This window comes from Homo sapiens, chromosome 11, assembly GCF_000001405.40.
Source record: "Homo sapiens chromosome 11, GRCh38.p14 Primary Assembly".
NCBI lineage: Eukaryota > Metazoa > Chordata > Mammalia > Primates > Hominidae > Homo > Homo sapiens.
In genome coordinates, this window is record NC_000011.10 from 61,856,039 (window position 1) to 61,872,362 (window position 16,324).

Sequence of the window (16,324 nt, forward strand, 5' to 3'; positions counted from 1 at the left end):
GGCAGAGTCGGCTCAAGCGCATCTGCTGGCTGCAAGCCCAGCCTCCCCACACTGCAAGGGAGAGGAGCAGGTGTCACTCAGTGAGCGGCATCTTTTGGTCTCAGTCCTGGAAGTGCAGGGTGGGCTGGTCCCTAGGGGCTGGACCATGGAATTAAGGGCTCCAGGGATCCCCTGGGGCCGTGGTTCCTATGCCTGGCATTGGACAATGACGATGCCCAGGACCCAGCCCAGCCCTCCTCCATTAGAGCCTCTGGGCATCAGGCTGCCCAAGGTGCAGGCTCTGATGGGGAAGAAACCGGTGCCGTCATGGGGACCTCAGGTAGCCAGATGTGGCCTGAGGAGTCTGTGCTGTGGCCTCCTCTGTCCTCAAGGTTAGGCTCCAGCTGGGGAGGAGTGATTCACTCTTGTAAATTACAGGGAGGCTCCAGGGAGGCAGATGCTCCCAGCCTGATGACTGGCAGCAATTCTGGGGCCCTTACCTAGGTTCTCCCTGCCACTGCGGGCTCCGGGAGCTCTCCATGGTGACCTAGGAACTCCCCTGGGTGCTTATGCTCCGCCGAGAGTTGCTCTGTTGCACATTCATTCAACAAACATTTGTTTAGTGCCTGTCACATGGGCTCAGAGTCAGCTTTTTGGGTTCTGATCCCAGTCAGGGCCACTTCCTGTGGCCTTGGGCCATGGCTTAACGCTGAGCCTCAGCCTCAGAAGTGCCGGCCTTGTAGAGGATCGATGCCATCGGGCCAGTGCTCGGCTAGGGCTGAGGAAGCGTTGGCCGCTGCTGGCTGTAGCATGGGGAGCCCAGAGGGCTGGAGGGGCCCCAGGCTTGGTGGGCCCAGGGTGCAGATTGACAGGAAAGGGACAGTGGTGTGCCCTGAGCAGATAGAAGGGATGGTGGCTGCAGGATGGGTTGGGGAACATGGGAGGCTGGGAGCTGAGGCTACTGGGTGCTCATGATCTCTCCTCTCTCCTCAGTACGGCAAGAAGAAGCTGAAATACCTGCCCTACAATCACCAGCACGAATACTTCTTCCTGAGTGAGTGCTCGGCGCCCCGAAATCACTCTGGGACCCTCCCCTCCCCCCAGAGTGGCGTGTCTCTCCCTCCTACCTGACATCTTTTTCAGATCCAGAAAGTGACACTAAACTTGTTAGAAGCGGGGGCCACAGCAGCCTTGCTGTGCAGACCCCTCAGCCTGTGTTACAGGCCTGATGGGGACACAGAGGCTCAGAGAGTCCCAGGGGTGACACACGTCCTCAAGGGCTCCCAGCCTTCTCTGCAGGCCCCGGGGTCCCTGGCTGCTTCTGCCCACGTCTGCAGGGCTGGCCCCTGCACTCAGTGCTGGGCCTGGGTTCCCCTGACCTTCCGGCACAGGCAGGGTGGAATGGATGCCTCTAAGCGCCTGTCTCTCTCCTGCAGTTGGGCCGCCGCTGCTCATCCCCATGTATTTCCAGTACCAGATCATCATGACCATGATCGTCCATAAGAACTGGGTGGTGAGTTGGGGACACAGCTGGCTTGGCATGGGGAGGAGGGTGACTGGGACAGGGGGACCCGGGGGTCCTACGCTGCCTCCTCGTGTGCCCCAGTGGAGCCTGTGGGGCCCCAGGCATCTCCTCCCTGGGGTAGCTGCCTCTCAGGAAAGGACTCCCTCTGGGGCCACCAGGACCTAGTCCTAAAGATCTCTACTCTCCCTCAGACATAGGGAGTCCACTGGGGCAGCCCCTGCTTTTGCAGAGCCCCCGAGAAAGTTCTCAAAGGCAGCAGGATGAGAGGCAAGTGTGGCCATCTCCCTTCCCCGCTCCCTGTGGGCCCTGAGTCCCATGAACTGGGTTGCCCCACACCCTGGTTTGAAGTTGGAGCAGCTGGGCGTTGGCTGAGATGACAGGTGTGGTCGTTTGCGAAGACCGTATGACAAAGCACCACGAACTGAGTGGCATAAGCAGCAGCGATGTGTTTTCTCCCGGTTCTGGAGACCGGAAGTCCAAAACTGAGGTGTTAGCAGGGTGGATTCCTTAGGGCTCTGGAAGGCTCTGTTCTGGGCCTCTCATCGGCTGGTTGATGGCTTTCGTCCTCCCTCTCGGTACATCATCTCTCTGCATATTTGTATCTGTATCTGTGTCCAAATATCCCTCTTTAAAAAAATTATTTTGTTTATTTGTTTATTTATTGAGACAGAGTCACATAGGCTGGAGTGCAGTGGTGTGATCTCGACTCAACTGCAACCTCTACCTCCTGGGTGCAAGCAATTCTTGTGACTCAGCCTCCCAAGTACCTGGGATTACAGGCACCGGCCACCATGCCCAGCTAATTTTTGTATTTTTAGTAGAGATGGGGTTTTTCCATGTTGGCGAGGCTGGTCTCGAACTCCTGGCCTCAAGTGATCTGCCCGCCTCAGCCTCACAAAGTGCTGAGATTACAGGCATGAGCCACCACGCCTGGCCTATTTTTTAATTTTCTTTTTTTCTTCACCAAAAGTGGATTCTTGAAAATTTTTCCTTTTTTTTAAAATAGGGACATTGGTCATATTGCATTAGGGCCCATTGTAATTACGTCATCTTTTTTTTTTGAGATGGTGTTTCGCTCTGTCGCCCAGGCTGGAGTGCAGTGGTGCGATCTCGGCTCACTGCAACCTCCGCCTCCTGGGTTCAAGCGATTCTCCTGCCTCAACCTCCTGAGTAGCTGGGAGTACAGGCGCCGGCCACCATGCCTGGCTAATTTTTGTATTTTTAGTAGTGATGGGGTTTCACCATGTTGGCCAGGCTGGTCTCGAACTCTTGACTCGTGATCCACCCGCCTTGGCCTCCCAAAGTGCTGGGATTACAGGCGTGAGCCACTGCACCCGGCAGATAAATTGTTTATCTGAAAATTATCAAAGACTAAATTGTCACTTTCTGAAATGCTTGCTTAAAATCCAGTCTTTCTCAGCAGTCTATTTGTCCCTCATGCTCCAACCAATAGCCATGGGGAAGTTTTTCCTCTCTTAACCAAATGTGGACTTGTTTATTGATTACTGTTTTTTGTTTGTTTGTTTGTTTTTGAGGTGGAGTTTCGCTCTTGTTGCCCAGGCTGGAGTACAATGGCGTGATCTCGGCTCACCGAAACCTCTGCCTCCTGGGTTCGAGTAATTCTCCTGCCTCAGCCTCCGAAGTAGCTGGGATTACAGGCATGCGCCACCATGCCCAGCTAATTTTGTATTTTTAGCAGAGACAGGGTTTCACCATGTTGGTCAGGCTGGTCTCAAACTCCCAACCTGAGGTGATCTGCCCACCTCAGCCTCCCAAAGTGCTGGGATTACAGGCGTGAGCCACCGCGCCCGGCCTGTTGATTACTGTTTTATCGCTTGCTAACTGAAGTTGTCCTTTTCACCCTGACTGTGAATTTAAGAGCAGCCAAGTCAAATTTTATCTCCAAGTCTTGGACCCATATATCCAATCTAACTCCATTTGGAGGTGTCCCAGCCATTGCAAATCCAACATATTCAATGTAAGTCCTCTCCTCTTCTCCCACAACCTAATCCTGATGGTCTCCATGTTAATGAATGGCTCCATCATCCACCCAGTGGCTCAAGTTAGAGACTAGCACCATTATGTTTTTTCCCTCCTTATACATGTTACACCCTCTCCTTGCCTCTAGCATCCAATCCCGTTCTAACTCATAAGTGGCCTATTGCCGGGCGCAGTCACTCATGCTTGTTATCCCAGCACTTTGAGAGGCCGAGGCGGGCAGATCATGAGGTCAGGAGTTCGAGACCAGCCTGGCCAGCATGGTGAAACCCCGTCTCTACTAAAAATACAAAAAATTAGCCTGGCATGGTGGTGTGCACCTGTAGTCCCAGCTACTCAGGAGGCTGAGGCAGGAGAATTGCTTGAACCCGGGAGGCGGAGCTTGCAGTGAGCAACTTCTTTTTTTTGTTTGTTTTTGACTGTGCTTGTTCCCTAAGGAACAAAGTATTAAACAGGAAAAGAAATCACCCTATGTTCCTAAAAGGGGATGGCAGAGTGGGGACAATGTGATGAGCCCATGGGGCTTTCAGAGCCAGGAGCGCACCTATGACCTGGGGCACTGGTTCTCAGGGGAGCTGTTCTGCCCTTTGGCAGTATCCGGAGACACTTTTAATTGTCACAACTTCAGGAGAGGAGGGTGCTACTGGCATCTGGTGGGCGTCTAGCCAGGATGGTGCTTAGCACCCTGCCATGCCCTGGAGAACCGCCCATGACAACAAGCAGCCTGTCCCAGGTGCCAATAGTGTGGAGGTTGGGGGACCCTGGCTTAGAGGAAAGAGGTGACAAACCCTAAGATCTTTGAAGGAGGCTTCCCGGGGAGATTTACATGCTCTGGCAAGGTTCCCTGTTCCCGGGGCCACGTCCTGGATCCTGAGATGCTCCCACGCTTCACCCTCCTGGAATTTTGCTGTATCTGACACCACTGGCCACTCCCTCTTGCAGTTCTTCCTGTTGGCTTCCAGGTCCCCACCTCTGCTGGCTTCTTCCCAACCCCCTCGCTCCGCCTCTTTGGCTGCTTCTGATCTCTTGGGCTCTCTGCCCCTGAAACCAGCGATCTCTGTGTATGTGTTGCTCTCTACACTCAAAAGAAGTCCAGGCCAGGCATGGTGGCTCACGCCTGTGATCTCAGCACTTTGGGAGGCTGAGGTGGGAGGGATCACCTGAAGCCAGGAGTTTTGAGACCAGCCTGAGCAACATGGGCGAAACCCTGTCTCTACAAAAAGCTGGGCGTGGTGATGCGCGCCTGTAATCTACCTACTTTGGAGGCTGAGGTAGGAGGATGGCTTGAGCCCAGGAGTTTGAGGCTGCAGTGAGCTGTGATCACACCACTGCACTCAAGCCTGGGCAACAGAGTGAGACCCTGTCTCTTAAAAATAAAAGTTGGGCCAGGGCAATGGTTCACACCTGTAATCCTAGTACTTTGGGAGGCCAAGGCTGGAGGATCACTTGAGCACAGGCATTCGAGACCAGCCTGGGCAAGTAAGTGAGACCCCCCCATCTCTATAAAAACTTAAAAAAAATTATCCAGGTAAGGCCAGACACAGTGGCTCATGCCTGTAATACCAGCACTTTGGGAGCCTGAGGCAGGCGGATCACAAGGTCAGGAGATCGAGACCATCCTGGCGAACACGGTGAAACCCCATCTCCACTAAAAATACAAAAAATTATCCGGGCGTGGTGGCGGGCACCTGTAGACCCAGCTACTTGGGAGGCTGAGGCAGGAGAATGGTATGAACCCAGGAGGTGGAGCTTGCAGTGAGCCAAGATCACACCACTGCACTCTAGCCTGGGCGACAGAGCGAGACTCCCTCTCAAAAAAAAAAAAAAAAAACAGAAATTAGCTACTCGGGAGGCTGAGGTAGAAGTATGGCTTGAGCCTGGGACAGAGTCATGATCACACCATTGCACTCCAGCCTGGGCAATAAAGCAAGATCCCATCTCCAAAAAAAAATAATCCGTAACCCCATCCTCATTTTGTTTCCATATATGTGTAGATACACTGCACACTATTGCACCACACACACAGAATAGAAGGAATGTGATGGAAAGTGGGAGCAGAACTGGCTACATCTGCCTCCCTCCTCACCTTGAAGGCCACCTTATTGGAACGTGAGGTCCTGCCCTCGGCCAATGTTGGCCCCAAGGCCATCTCCAGCCTCTCCTGAGCGCTCCCTTCCTCCTTTCCTGTTCAGCTGCTGGCACCCGACCCCTGATCACCTAGGACCAGCCTAGATTCCCCACAGCCAAGCAGGCACAAATGCAGCCACCGTTGCCTCTGACAGTTCTGGAATCTGTCACCTCCTTGTCAGTGCCGTGGGTTCTGGTTTAGGCCTCTGTCATTTCATGTCTGAGCCGCTGGAATAACTTCCTAGTCTCCCCCTCTCCAGTGGGTGGGGATCTATTTTAAGACACAAATGTGACCTTGTTCTTCAGTCGTTTGAAGTGAGACAGGGCAGTCCCTTGGCCTCACCTTCCACCTCGGACACCTGTGCTGAGCCTGTGGCATGTCACCATACCTAAACTCATGGCAGGATGAGCGCCCTGGCAGTGGGAACAGGCCATGCAGAGGCCCCGGGGAGGGAGTAAGCTAGGTCAGGGGGCTGAGTAAAGACAGGTTCTTAACCCCATGAGGCTCCGTGGGTGACTGGGTGGGATGGGGGCTTTAGCAGGGGAGAGTTGGGACCTGCTTGGAGCGAAGGCCACTCTGGTTGCCATGGCCACGAGGACAAGCAGGAGACTGTGGGAAGCTGATGCTGTGGTCCAGTTGAGACAAGACTTGGGTGGCAGAGAGACAGTGGACAGGGTGGAGCCGTGAAGTCACCCTCCCAGTACATGAGAGAAGACGTCCAAGCCCAGTCCCTGACACCAGTCCAGCCAGAGGCAGGGAGGAGAGCAGAGTGGAGGGACACAGGATGACAGTGGGGCGTGGGGAGGCCAGCCTCTGCTGTGAGAGCTCTGAGATAGGGACGATGGTACCTCTGACCTTCCCTACCCCTCCAAGCCCTCTGTCCTGCTGGAAGGAGATGCCAGGAGGAGACCCAGGTGCTGAGGAGGAGGGACAGGACTGGGGGACGGTTGGGGACCTGGCCCCGGGTTGGGGGCGCACCTTCAGAATCGCCCTTGCCCCACGAGAGGGCTGCTGACCCCCACCCCTACCCCATGGCTGCCCCTCAGCAGGAGGGTCCGTTTCTCTCCCGAAAAACAGGGCACAGTCACTTCCTGATGCTAAAACACTCAGCATTTCCCTAGAAACAAAGGCAGCCATGCAAACCCCGAGCAAGCAGGTGGCGTGTAGTTGCCCATTGCATTTCAGTGGGCTGCGGTCCAGCTTCTAGAGGCCTGAGTGTGAGGTGTGTGCACATCTGGGGCACGCACTTGGTGCCAGGGCAGAGGAGAGGGCAGGTTGCACCTAACTTCATCTTTCCCCGCAGGACCTGGCCTGGGCCGTCAGCTACTACATCCGGTTCTTCATCACCTACATCCCTTTCTACGGCATCCTGGGAGCCCTCCTTTTCCTCAACTTCATCAGGTGCCTGGGCTTTGCTGATTCATCCCTGGGCCCTCCACTGGCACTGATGATGGCTTTGGCATGAGAAGAGGCTCGGACGGCTCCACTTTGCCTGGGGACCTCCCATCCTGGCCCCTTGGCAGGGGCTGTCCTGGGCTGGTTGGGAGAGTGGATCTGTTCCCACTGTGGCTGGGCCCCCGGAGGCCCCTGCGCTGAGCTGTGTTCTCTTGCAGGTTCCTGGAGAGCCACTGGTTTGTGTGGGTCACACAGATGAATCACATCGTCATGGAGATTGACCAGGAGGCCTACCGTGACTGGTTCAGTAGCCAGGTAGGGAAGTCAGGGCCGGTCACCAGAGCCTGGTCCCAATGTCCATGTCCTGGCCCCAGATGATCTGCACCTGCTAACACAGGGCTGTGCTGGGCCTCCCGGGGCTGCCTGTGTCCTTTTGCTGGGAGCTTCAGGGCTGAGCAAGAAAGGGCAGCAGGAATCCCCCAGAGGGACAGGTGGGGCATCTGGGTGGGCTGAGGCCATCAGGCAGGACGGTATGATGTGGACGGGTGGCCTGGAGACCCTGGGTAAGGCTGGGCCCCCTGGGAATGAGGCCGGGCCCTTGGGCCTTCCTTTGTTCCCTGACACTCATCCCCTCCACTGACAGCTGACAGCCACCTGCAACGTGGAGCAGTCCTTCTTCAACGACTGGTTCAGTGGACACCTTAACTTCCAGATTGAGCACCAGTGAGCGCGGGGCTGCGGGGAGGCGGGGAGACCCACAGCGGGAGGGAAGTGGCCGCTATCCCACTGGGCAGAATGCAGAATGTGGGGGCCACCTCTTTGTCTCTCTGACAAGGTCTCTGCCCAATATAGAGCAAGGCTCCCAGCCAGCCCCGCTGAGGTCAGGAGAGGGGCTCCCCTATTCCATCTCCCTGAGGGTCATCCTGTGCCCCTCATGCTGTGCCACTTGGTCATAGTGGTTACCACCTCCCTCCATGTGGGCCTGGGACTTTGTAGTTATGGAGCCTGCACACGCACCTCATGACCCTGTGAGGCTAGCAGGGCAGGGCTACGTAGCTTGCCTGGAACATCGGCCGAGGGACTGCCCTGCTGCCCCTTGTCCTTGCTTCACCTCTTGTCACTGTTTTTTTTTTTTTTTATTAAAAAATAAAAAATGTAGAGACAGAGTCTCACCCTGTTTCCTGGGCTGGAGTGCAGTGGTGCTTTCTTGGCTCACTGCAGCCTCGAACGCCTGAGCTAAAGTCATCCTCCCACCTCAGCCTCCTGAGTAGCTGGGACTGCAGGTGCGTGCCACCATGCCCAACTAATTTTTTCTTTTTTTTTTTACTTTTATTTATTTATTTATTTTGAGACAGAATCTCACTCTGTTGCCCAGACTGGAGGGCAGTGGCGCAATCTCGGCTCACTGCATCCTCCACCTACCAGGTTCAAGCAATTCTCAGGCCTCAGCCTCCCACGTAGCTGGGATTACAGGCGTGTGCCACCACGCCCAGCTAATTTTTGTATTTTTTAGTGGAGACGGGGTTTCACCATGTTGGCCAGGCTGGTCTCAAACTCCTAGCCTCAAGTGATCCACCTGCGTTGGCCTCCCAAAGTGCTGGGATTACAGGTGTGAGCCACTGCACCTGGCCTAATTTTTTATTTTTATTTTTTGTAGAGAAGAGGTCTTGCCGTGTCGCCCAGGCTGATCTCAAACTTCTGGCCTCAAGTGATCTGCCTGCCTCGGCCTCCCAAAATGCTGGGATTACAGGCGTGAGCCACCGTGCCTCACCTCACTGCCTCTTTTCCTAGCATTCCCCAGCTATTTCATTTCTTTTTTGAAAAACATGACACTTTGTCTCTGGCCACCCAATATCTTCCCAGCTCCATAGAGCACAAACGCCCTCCTGCTCACGGAGGGCTGCACCCTCCCCTCCACACACGTGGCACCCCACTGGGCACACACGAGGAGCCACACTTTGAGACTGGTCCTGGCTGTGGACAGGGTCTCTGAGGGCCCCAGCCAGCCTCTGCCCAGGTGGTGGGAGGAAGCGGGAGCAGCATGGCCCTCTGAGTCCTCACGCTCTGCCCACCCTACACACTCCTCAGCCTCTTCCCCACCATGCCCCGGCACAACTTACACAAGATCGCCCCGCTGGTGAAGTCTCTATGTGCCAAGCATGGCATTGAATACCAGGAGAAGCCGCTACTGAGGGCCCTGCTGGACATCATCAGGTGAGGGGTGGAGGTCCACAGGCGCTGGGCCCTGGGATCACCCGTGGTGCAGACAGTGGGATCACAAGAGGGGCTGGGCCCTCCTGGCACAGTCACCCACCAGGGCACCTGCCTTACTCCCGAGCCTGTGTTAGGAGCTGTTGGGCTTTTCTCCCTGGGCTGCGAGAAGACCATCCCTTTCTGTGTGGGGTTCCTGGTGGGCTCTGAGCTGACAGCCCCACAGGCCCAGTGGCAGTGGTAAGCCCTGGTTAGGGCCAAGGGGACATACATGCCACCTTAATGATGGCCTCCTCAGCCCTTGCACTCCCTGGGGCCACTCCCGTCCTGGTCCCTGACCCTGGTCCATCCCCAACTTTGCAGGTCCCTGAAGAAGTCTGGGAAGCTGTGGCTGGACGCCTACCTTCACAAATGAAGCCACAGCCCCCGGGACACCGTGGGGAAGGGGTGCAGGTGGGGTGATGGCCAGAGGAATGATGGGCTTTTGTTCTGAGGGGTGTCCGAGAGGCTGGTGTATGCACTGCTCACGGACCCCATGTTGGATCTTTCTCCCTTTCTCCTCTCCTTTTTCTCTTCACATCTCCCCCATAGCACCCTGCCCTCATGGGACCTGCCCTCCCTCAGCCGTCAGCCATCAGCCATGGCCCTCCCAGTGCCTCCTAGCCCCTTCTTCCAAGGAGCAGAGAGGTGGCCACCGGGGGTGGCTCTGTCCTACCTCCACTCTCTGCCCCTAAAGATGGGAGGAGACCAGCGGTCCATGGGTCTGGCCTGTGAGTCTCCCCTTGCAGCCTGGTCACTAGGCATCACCCCCGCTTTGGTTCTTCAGATGCTCTTGGGGTTCATAGGGGCAGGTCCTAGTCGGGCAGGGCCCCTGACCCTCCCGGCCTGGCTTCACTCTCCCTGACGGCTGCCATTGGTCCACCCTTTCATAGAGAGGCCTGCTTTGTTACAAAGCTCGGGTCTCCCTCCTGCAGCTCGGTTAAGTACCCGAGGCCTCTCTTAAGATGTCCAGGGCCCCAGGCCCGCGGGCACAGCCAGCCCAAACCTTGGGCCCTGGAAGAGTCCTCCACCCCATCACTAGAGTGCTCTGACCCTGGGCTTTCACGGGCCCCATTCCACCGCCTCCCCAACTTGAGCCTGTGACCTTGGGACCAAAGGGGGAGTCCCTCGTCTCTTGTGACTCAGCAGAGGCAGTGGCCACGTTCAGGGAGGGGCCGGCTGGCCTGGAGGCTCAGCCCACCCTCCAGCTTTTCCTCAGGGTGTCCTGAGGTCCAAGATTCTGGAGCAATCTGACCCTTCTCCAAAGGCTCTGTTATCAGCTGGGCAGTGCCAGCCAATCCCTGGCCATTTGGCCCCAGGGGACGTGGGCCCTGCAGGCTGCAGGAGGGCACTGGAGCTGGGAGGTCTCGTCCCAGCCCTCCCCATCTCGGGGCTGCTGTGTGGACGGCGCTGCCTCAGGCACTCTCCTGTCTGAACCTGCCCTTACTGTGTTTAACCTGTTGCTCCAGGATGCATTCTGATAGGAGGGGGCGGCAGGGCTGGGCCTTGTGACAATCTGCCTTTCACCACATGGCCTTGCCTCGGTGGCCCTGACTGTCAGGGAGGGCCAGGGAGGCAGAGCGGGAGGGAGTCTCAGGAGGAGGCTGCCCTGAGGGGCTGGGGAGGGGGTACCTCATGAGGACCAGGGTGGAGCTGAGAAGAGGAGGAGGTGGGGGCTGGAGGTGCTGGTAGCTGAGGGGACGGGCAAGTGAGAGGGGAGGGAGGGAAGTCCTGGGAGGATCCTGAGCTGCTGTTGCAGTCTAACCCACTAATCAGTTCTTAGATTCAGGGGAAGGGCAGGCACCAACAACTCAGAATGGGGGCTTTCGGGGAGGGCGCCTAGTCCCCCCAGCTCTAAGCAGCCAGGAGGGACCTGCATCTAAGCATCTGGGTTGCCATGGCAATGGCATGCCCCCCAGCTACTGTATGCCCCCGACCCCCGCAGAGGCAGAATGAACCCATAGGGAGCTGATCGTAATGTTTATCATGTTACTTCCCCACCCCTACATTTTTTGAAATAAAATAAGGAATTTTATTCTCACTTCCTGTGTTTCCTGCACGCCAATGCCAGGCCATGGTATTGGGTGATAGATGAGGCCCTTCTAGCTGGGCCTGGGCACCAGGAGGGGTCCCCATGCTTGCATCTCTCTGTATCCCCTCCCTCCCCTGTGGCCATCCCACCCGCCTCTCCCTGCTGCCTCTGAAATTCATTCTGGGGCCCGGAACTTGGTGGAAATGACCCAAAAACATTGGCCCATCTTCCTCCTCTCAGCAGCCGACCCCAGCCCAATTCTAAAACAGGGCTGAGAGCCACCTCTCAGCAGCTGACCCCTACCCAAGGAGGGTGGCATGGAGGGGCTTGCAGAGACTCTTCCTAACATCCTCCCCCCCCAGCTGTCTCCCCAAGTGCAATCTGCCCTCCCATCCCTGGGCCAGCCAGCTTCCACAGAGCGCCAGGCCAAACAGAATTCCTGGCCTCCTTGGAAGGGGCTGGAGAAGGCCGGGAGCGGTGGCTCATGCCTGTAATCCCAGCACTTTGGGAGGCTGAGGCGGGCAGATCACAAAGTCAAGAGATTGAGACCATCCTGGCCAACATGGTGAAACCCCGTCTCTACTAAAAATACAAAAATTAGGCCGGGTGCGGTGGCTCACGCCTGTAATCCCAGCACTTTGGGAGGCCGAGGCGGGCAGATCACGAGGTCAGGAGATCAAGACCATCCTGGCTAACACGGTGAAACCCCGTCTCTACTAAAAATACAAAAATTAGGCCGGGTGCGGTGGCTCACGCCTGTAATCCCAGCACTTTGGGAGGCCGAGGCGGGCAGATCACGAGGTCAGGAGATCAAGACCATCCTGGCTAACACGGTGAAACCCCGTCTCTACTAAAAATACAAAAAATTAGCCGGGCGAGGTGGCGGGTGCCTGTAGTCCCAGCTACGTGGGAGGCTGAGGCAAGAGAATGGCGTGAACCCCGGCGGGGCAGAGCCTGCAGAGAGCTGAGATCACACCACTGTACTCCAGCCTGGGCAACAGCGAGACTCCGTCTCAAAAAAAAAAAAAAAAAAAAAATTAGCTGGGCATGGTGGTGCGTGCCTGCAGTCCCAGCTACTCAGGAGGCTGAGACGGGAGAATCGCTTGAACCTGGGAGGCAGAGGTTGCAGTGAGCCAAGATCGCTCACTCCAGCCTAGCGACAGAGTGAGACTCCGTCTCAAATAAATAAATAAATAAATAAATTAAATTAAATTAAAAGGGGGCTGAAGAAGGCTCTGGAGGCTGATGATTCTTTTTGTGGCTCCCGTGCCCATATATGCAATGGCTCATTCAGAACCCACAGGCTGTGGGGGGGGCTGATATCATCCTAGCCCAGGGTCACCAGTTCATAGGCACAGAGATTGGATCCTAGGTCTGTCTGACCCCAGAGGCTGGGAAGAGTCTAAAGCAACATGCCAGGGGCACTTGTACAGTCGGCCTCCCATGGACCCCCATGCTGCTCCGTCATCATCTCTGGGCTGGCTTTCCTGGCAGGGCTGATCCTGGGAAAGTGCCAAGGAAGGGCCAAGAGGCACTGGCTAGTTAACACCTTGGGGCCTCCCCTTGGCTTTGTAGCTGCTCCCAGCAGGGCTGGGGAGGGCTCCTGAGTAGACCTCAGCCCCCGCCTGCTTCCCCTGACCCCCGCTTTGCCTGGCCGAAATCCAGCCAGGTAGGGACAGCCAGCAGACTGGCTGGGGTACGTATGGCTCCCCAGTGGCCACAGGGTGTCCTGAGTAGGGCCTGGCATTACAGAAGCCCTGAGCGAGGTGGCCGACTCACCCCAGATTCACCAAGTGGCTCTGGGGAGTCCTTTGCCCTCCCTGGCCCTGTGGGCCATAGTCCACAGGGGCAGGCTAGAGGGGCCCCAAGGATGCCATTATCTCAACACCCGCTTACCCTAGGCCTTGCCCTCCTGGTGGACCCGCTGGCAGTGGCCTTCAAGGTTACAAGACCCTGGCAGGCACGGCTCCCACCCTCTGCCCTGTGCCTGTGACCCGCCTCCAGGATGGCGACCAGCCCAGGCCTCCCAACCCTACCAGTTGGAAATCCATGGGTCCATCACCCATAACAACCAGGGGGCTTGGAATTGGGGATACTGGAGGCCAGATGGACGCTGGGGCTATGAGGGCACCAGATAAATCTTGGCCTAGCCTCACCGGGCACTTGGAGCTTCTCTGACTTCCCCAGCCCCACCCAGCCCCGCCTTGCCCTTGAATACTTCCCTGGGTCAAGAAGCTGAGGACATTCATATCTGCTCTCTGCTTAACCGCCCCCTCCTGTCCCTGTACTCAGCTGACCCCCTTGCCAACACACCCAGAATTGTGAGTTTCTAATCCCTATCCCCTGCCAAAGTCATGGTGCCCCAATATTCAAGGCCCTGAGCAATCAAACCCCAACACCACCATCATGGGCGAAGAGGCTGAGCCCAGAGAGAGGACAGGACTGCGCAGGCCACACAGCAGCAGGACCCTGCTCCTAACCCGCAGGCTCCTGGCCACCTCTCCTGCACAGAAAGGGCTGGTTCCCAGACCCTGCCCCCATCACGTCAAATGTCAGACAGCTCCCAGGAGGCCCAGCGGCTGGCTGGAGGAGTGGGGGCAGTGGAGGGCAGTTAGTCTCTGAGGAGGAGATAAGGGCAGTGTAGCTACGCAGATAAAAGGGTATCAGCTTTGTGGGTAGCGGGGACATCTGCAGCGCCCCAAGTCTAAGCTGTGTGTGTGTGGGGCGGGGGAGGGTGCTGTGGCACCACAGGCGGATCCTCGGGGTGTCTGGCTGGACACTCCGAAGCCCTCGTGCCTACTCGGAGGGGAGAGGAAGCCTTTACCAAGCTGGACCAGGGCAGAGCTGGCAGCCACTGGGGCTGGGCTTGGGCTGCCATCAGGAGTGGCTGGCCATTGCTTATGTGACACAGTGCCTTGGGCCCATCGGGACTCCTCAGCGAGCCAGGCTGCACCCTCCCCCGAGAGGTGTGCCCCTCTGGCCAAAGAAGCTGCCTCTCAAAGAGTCCCTGTTCCAACATCTGAGAGGGAAATGGGGCGCCGTGGGGATGGCTTGCCCCAGGCTGAAACGCCACTGCCCTCGGGACTGGTTTTCCTTTTCTCAGCAGACTGGCTTCATGTGGCCAGTGCATACACGGAACAAGCAGCCCCCCAGCGTGCTGAGATTTCAGGATCACGTCCCCATCGTCCTCCACCATCACAAACACTTTGCTTTGGATTTTAAAGGCGTTCAGGTCTTTCTTCTAAATCGTCCCATTCAAGAGCAAGTGTCCAAGAGAAAGAGTGACAGCAGCCAAGAGCTTGGAATAGGCCAAGCTCCCAGTAGTTGTGGTGGCTCATTGCCTGAGGACATAGTGTGGTGGGGGGAGGAACCTTGAGAAACCCATGGCCTGTCCCGTCACAAAAGAGTTTGTTGACGCCCTGCTCCCCTCCAGCTACTCCCAACACACCAGGCAGGGGCTGGCTCTTGGGCATCATCATTTCCAACATCTGCCTGGGCTGGGAGACCCGTAGCAAATGTTGATGATCAAAGGAACAAACCAACACTGCGGTTATGGTTTCCCTCGGGAGCTGTTTTTCCTCCGGGCCCACGCCTCTTGTACAGACAATAAAAAAGGAACACGGTTTCTCAGAGGTTCAGAGGTTCCACCAAAGCCTCTTTCCTTTTACAAACCTGGCCCCTGTGCCCTAAGCCTTTGTTCTGAGACTAGGAGACCTACAGATGGAGAAGGGGGAGCTCAGCTCAGGACTGAGGGTGACCTGTTCCCAGGGGATCTAGCATGGGGGACAGTGGGACAAGAGCAAAGATTCCCCTGCCAGTGATGGGTCCCAGGTGGTCTGGAGAAATCTAGGAGTGGCTGCTGAAGGCGGGGCCTCCCAGGGGTCCGCAAAGCAAGTTACCAGGGACAGTAGGGAGCACGGCCCGCCCCACACTGGCGCAGATGCTCCGGGCGCCCCTGGGTGGCGCTGCAGGCTCAGCTGTCGTGGATCCTCGGTGTTAGCATCTCCCTGGCGAGCGCCTCGGAGCCAGCGCACAGCGATCTCTACCAGGGTGTGGACGGAGGGAATGCCATTCGGAGCCTGCGCTGGCTCAGGGCGCCCGCGTGGCACTAGGAGCCAACAGGATTTAAACAGGCGGTGACAGGAAGGGGGAGTCCCTGCAGAGGGACCAGCCTGTGCAGAGACCCTGAATGCAAGGCACGCCCTGGCCATGAGAAGCGTGTGTCTGAGGCAGGAAGTACCTTTCAAGGAGCATCCAATCTTACCCTCGGCTGAAAACTGAGGCTCAGGGAAGGCAAAAAAGAACTTGCCCTAGGTGACAGAGCAAATGGTCATCCTGGGGAATTGGGTTGTGTGCACAAAATTTGTGAATAAACTGAGCCTGCTGCTGTGCCCTTTGCTAAGAGCCTTTCTTCCATCACCCTAGGTACTGCTGCTCGGGGTCAAGGAACTCCCCCAAGGTCACACAGCCTGCGTCCTGGCAGAAACAGGACTTGCCCCCACCCCACCCCACCCCCAAGTCTGTCTGACTTGAGTGGATCCGGTGGGGCTGGGTGGCACCCGGAGGAGGGCAGGCATCTCACTCACAACCAAGCTGAAGGGGCTGCCACCCTCTGCTTCCCTGGCCCTACCAGGAGGCCTCTGCTGGCACTGCCCTGGGCCGGGAGGCCATAGGGAGCTTTGGGCTGTCTGCTCCTGGGTCTGGGAGATTATGTGAGCCGAACAGGACCTCCCCCAGTGCTCTCCTGCCCCAGAAGTCAGGGTGAGGGAAGCAGGACCCAAACACCCTGTCTGTCATCCTCTCAGAAAACACACCCCAGGGTCTCCCGGGCCAGGCTCTGGGCTGCCACCAGCCTCCAGCAGCAAATGATGTCAGTATTCCAGGTGCCGTCACAGAGACCCTAGTCACAGGCTGGGCAGGGAAGGGGAGGAGCCCTGCGGGTCAGAGAGAACTTTCTAGAAGGGGAGCCCCTGGGAAGAGCCGCAAGAGTCCATGGGAATGTGCAGACGGCCCCTCC

At 57.0% G+C, this 16,324-nt stretch overlaps 1 protein-coding gene across 4 annotated transcripts in view, besides 3 other annotated features; it reads left to right on the top strand.

Annotated features, from left to right (window-relative positions):
* Nucleotides 1-11,316, top strand: part of FADS2 (fatty acid desaturase 2) — a 51,152-nt gene extending 39,836 nt beyond the window's left edge. For all 4 annotated transcript variants that reach the window (XM_047427889.1, NM_001281501.1, NM_001281502.1 and 1 more), the window contains 7 exons: nt 973-1,033; nt 1,416-1,492; nt 6,934-7,031; nt 7,244-7,340; nt 7,669-7,748; nt 9,114-9,239; nt 9,600-11,316. In XM_047427889.1, coding sequence (XP_047283845.1) covers nt 973-1,033; nt 1,416-1,492; nt 6,934-7,031; nt 7,244-7,340; nt 7,669-7,748; nt 9,114-9,239; nt 9,600-9,651 — 591 coding nt within the window. In that variant the 3' untranslated portion in view covers nt 9,652-11,316. The remainder of the gene's footprint in view (nt 1-972; nt 1,034-1,415; nt 1,493-6,933; nt 7,032-7,243; nt 7,341-7,668; nt 7,749-9,113; nt 9,240-9,599) is intronic.
* Nucleotides 955-1,456: an enhancer, noted in NCBI's record as "H3K4me1 hESC enhancer chr11:61624465-61624966 (GRCh37/hg19 assembly coordinates)". NCBI's record gives its function as "activates a minimal SCP1, AML or CMV promoter by ChIP-STARR-seq in naive H9 embryonic stem cells {active_cell/tissue: H9 hESC(naive)}" and the evidence as "EXISTENCE:reporter gene assay evidence [ECO:0000049][PMID:30033119]".
* Nucleotides 5,210-5,710: an enhancer, noted in NCBI's record as "H3K27ac hESC enhancer chr11:61628720-61629220 (GRCh37/hg19 assembly coordinates)". NCBI's record gives its function as "activates a minimal SCP1, AML or CMV promoter by ChIP-STARR-seq in naive H9 embryonic stem cells {active_cell/tissue: H9 hESC(naive)}" and the evidence as "EXISTENCE:reporter gene assay evidence [ECO:0000049][PMID:30033119]".
* Nucleotides 5,711-6,211: an enhancer, noted in NCBI's record as "H3K27ac hESC enhancer chr11:61629221-61629721 (GRCh37/hg19 assembly coordinates)". NCBI's record gives its function as "activates a minimal SCP1, AML or CMV promoter by ChIP-STARR-seq in naive H9 embryonic stem cells {active_cell/tissue: H9 hESC(naive)}" and the evidence as "EXISTENCE:reporter gene assay evidence [ECO:0000049][PMID:30033119]".
* Nucleotides 11,317-16,324: the final 5,008 nt, after the last annotated feature.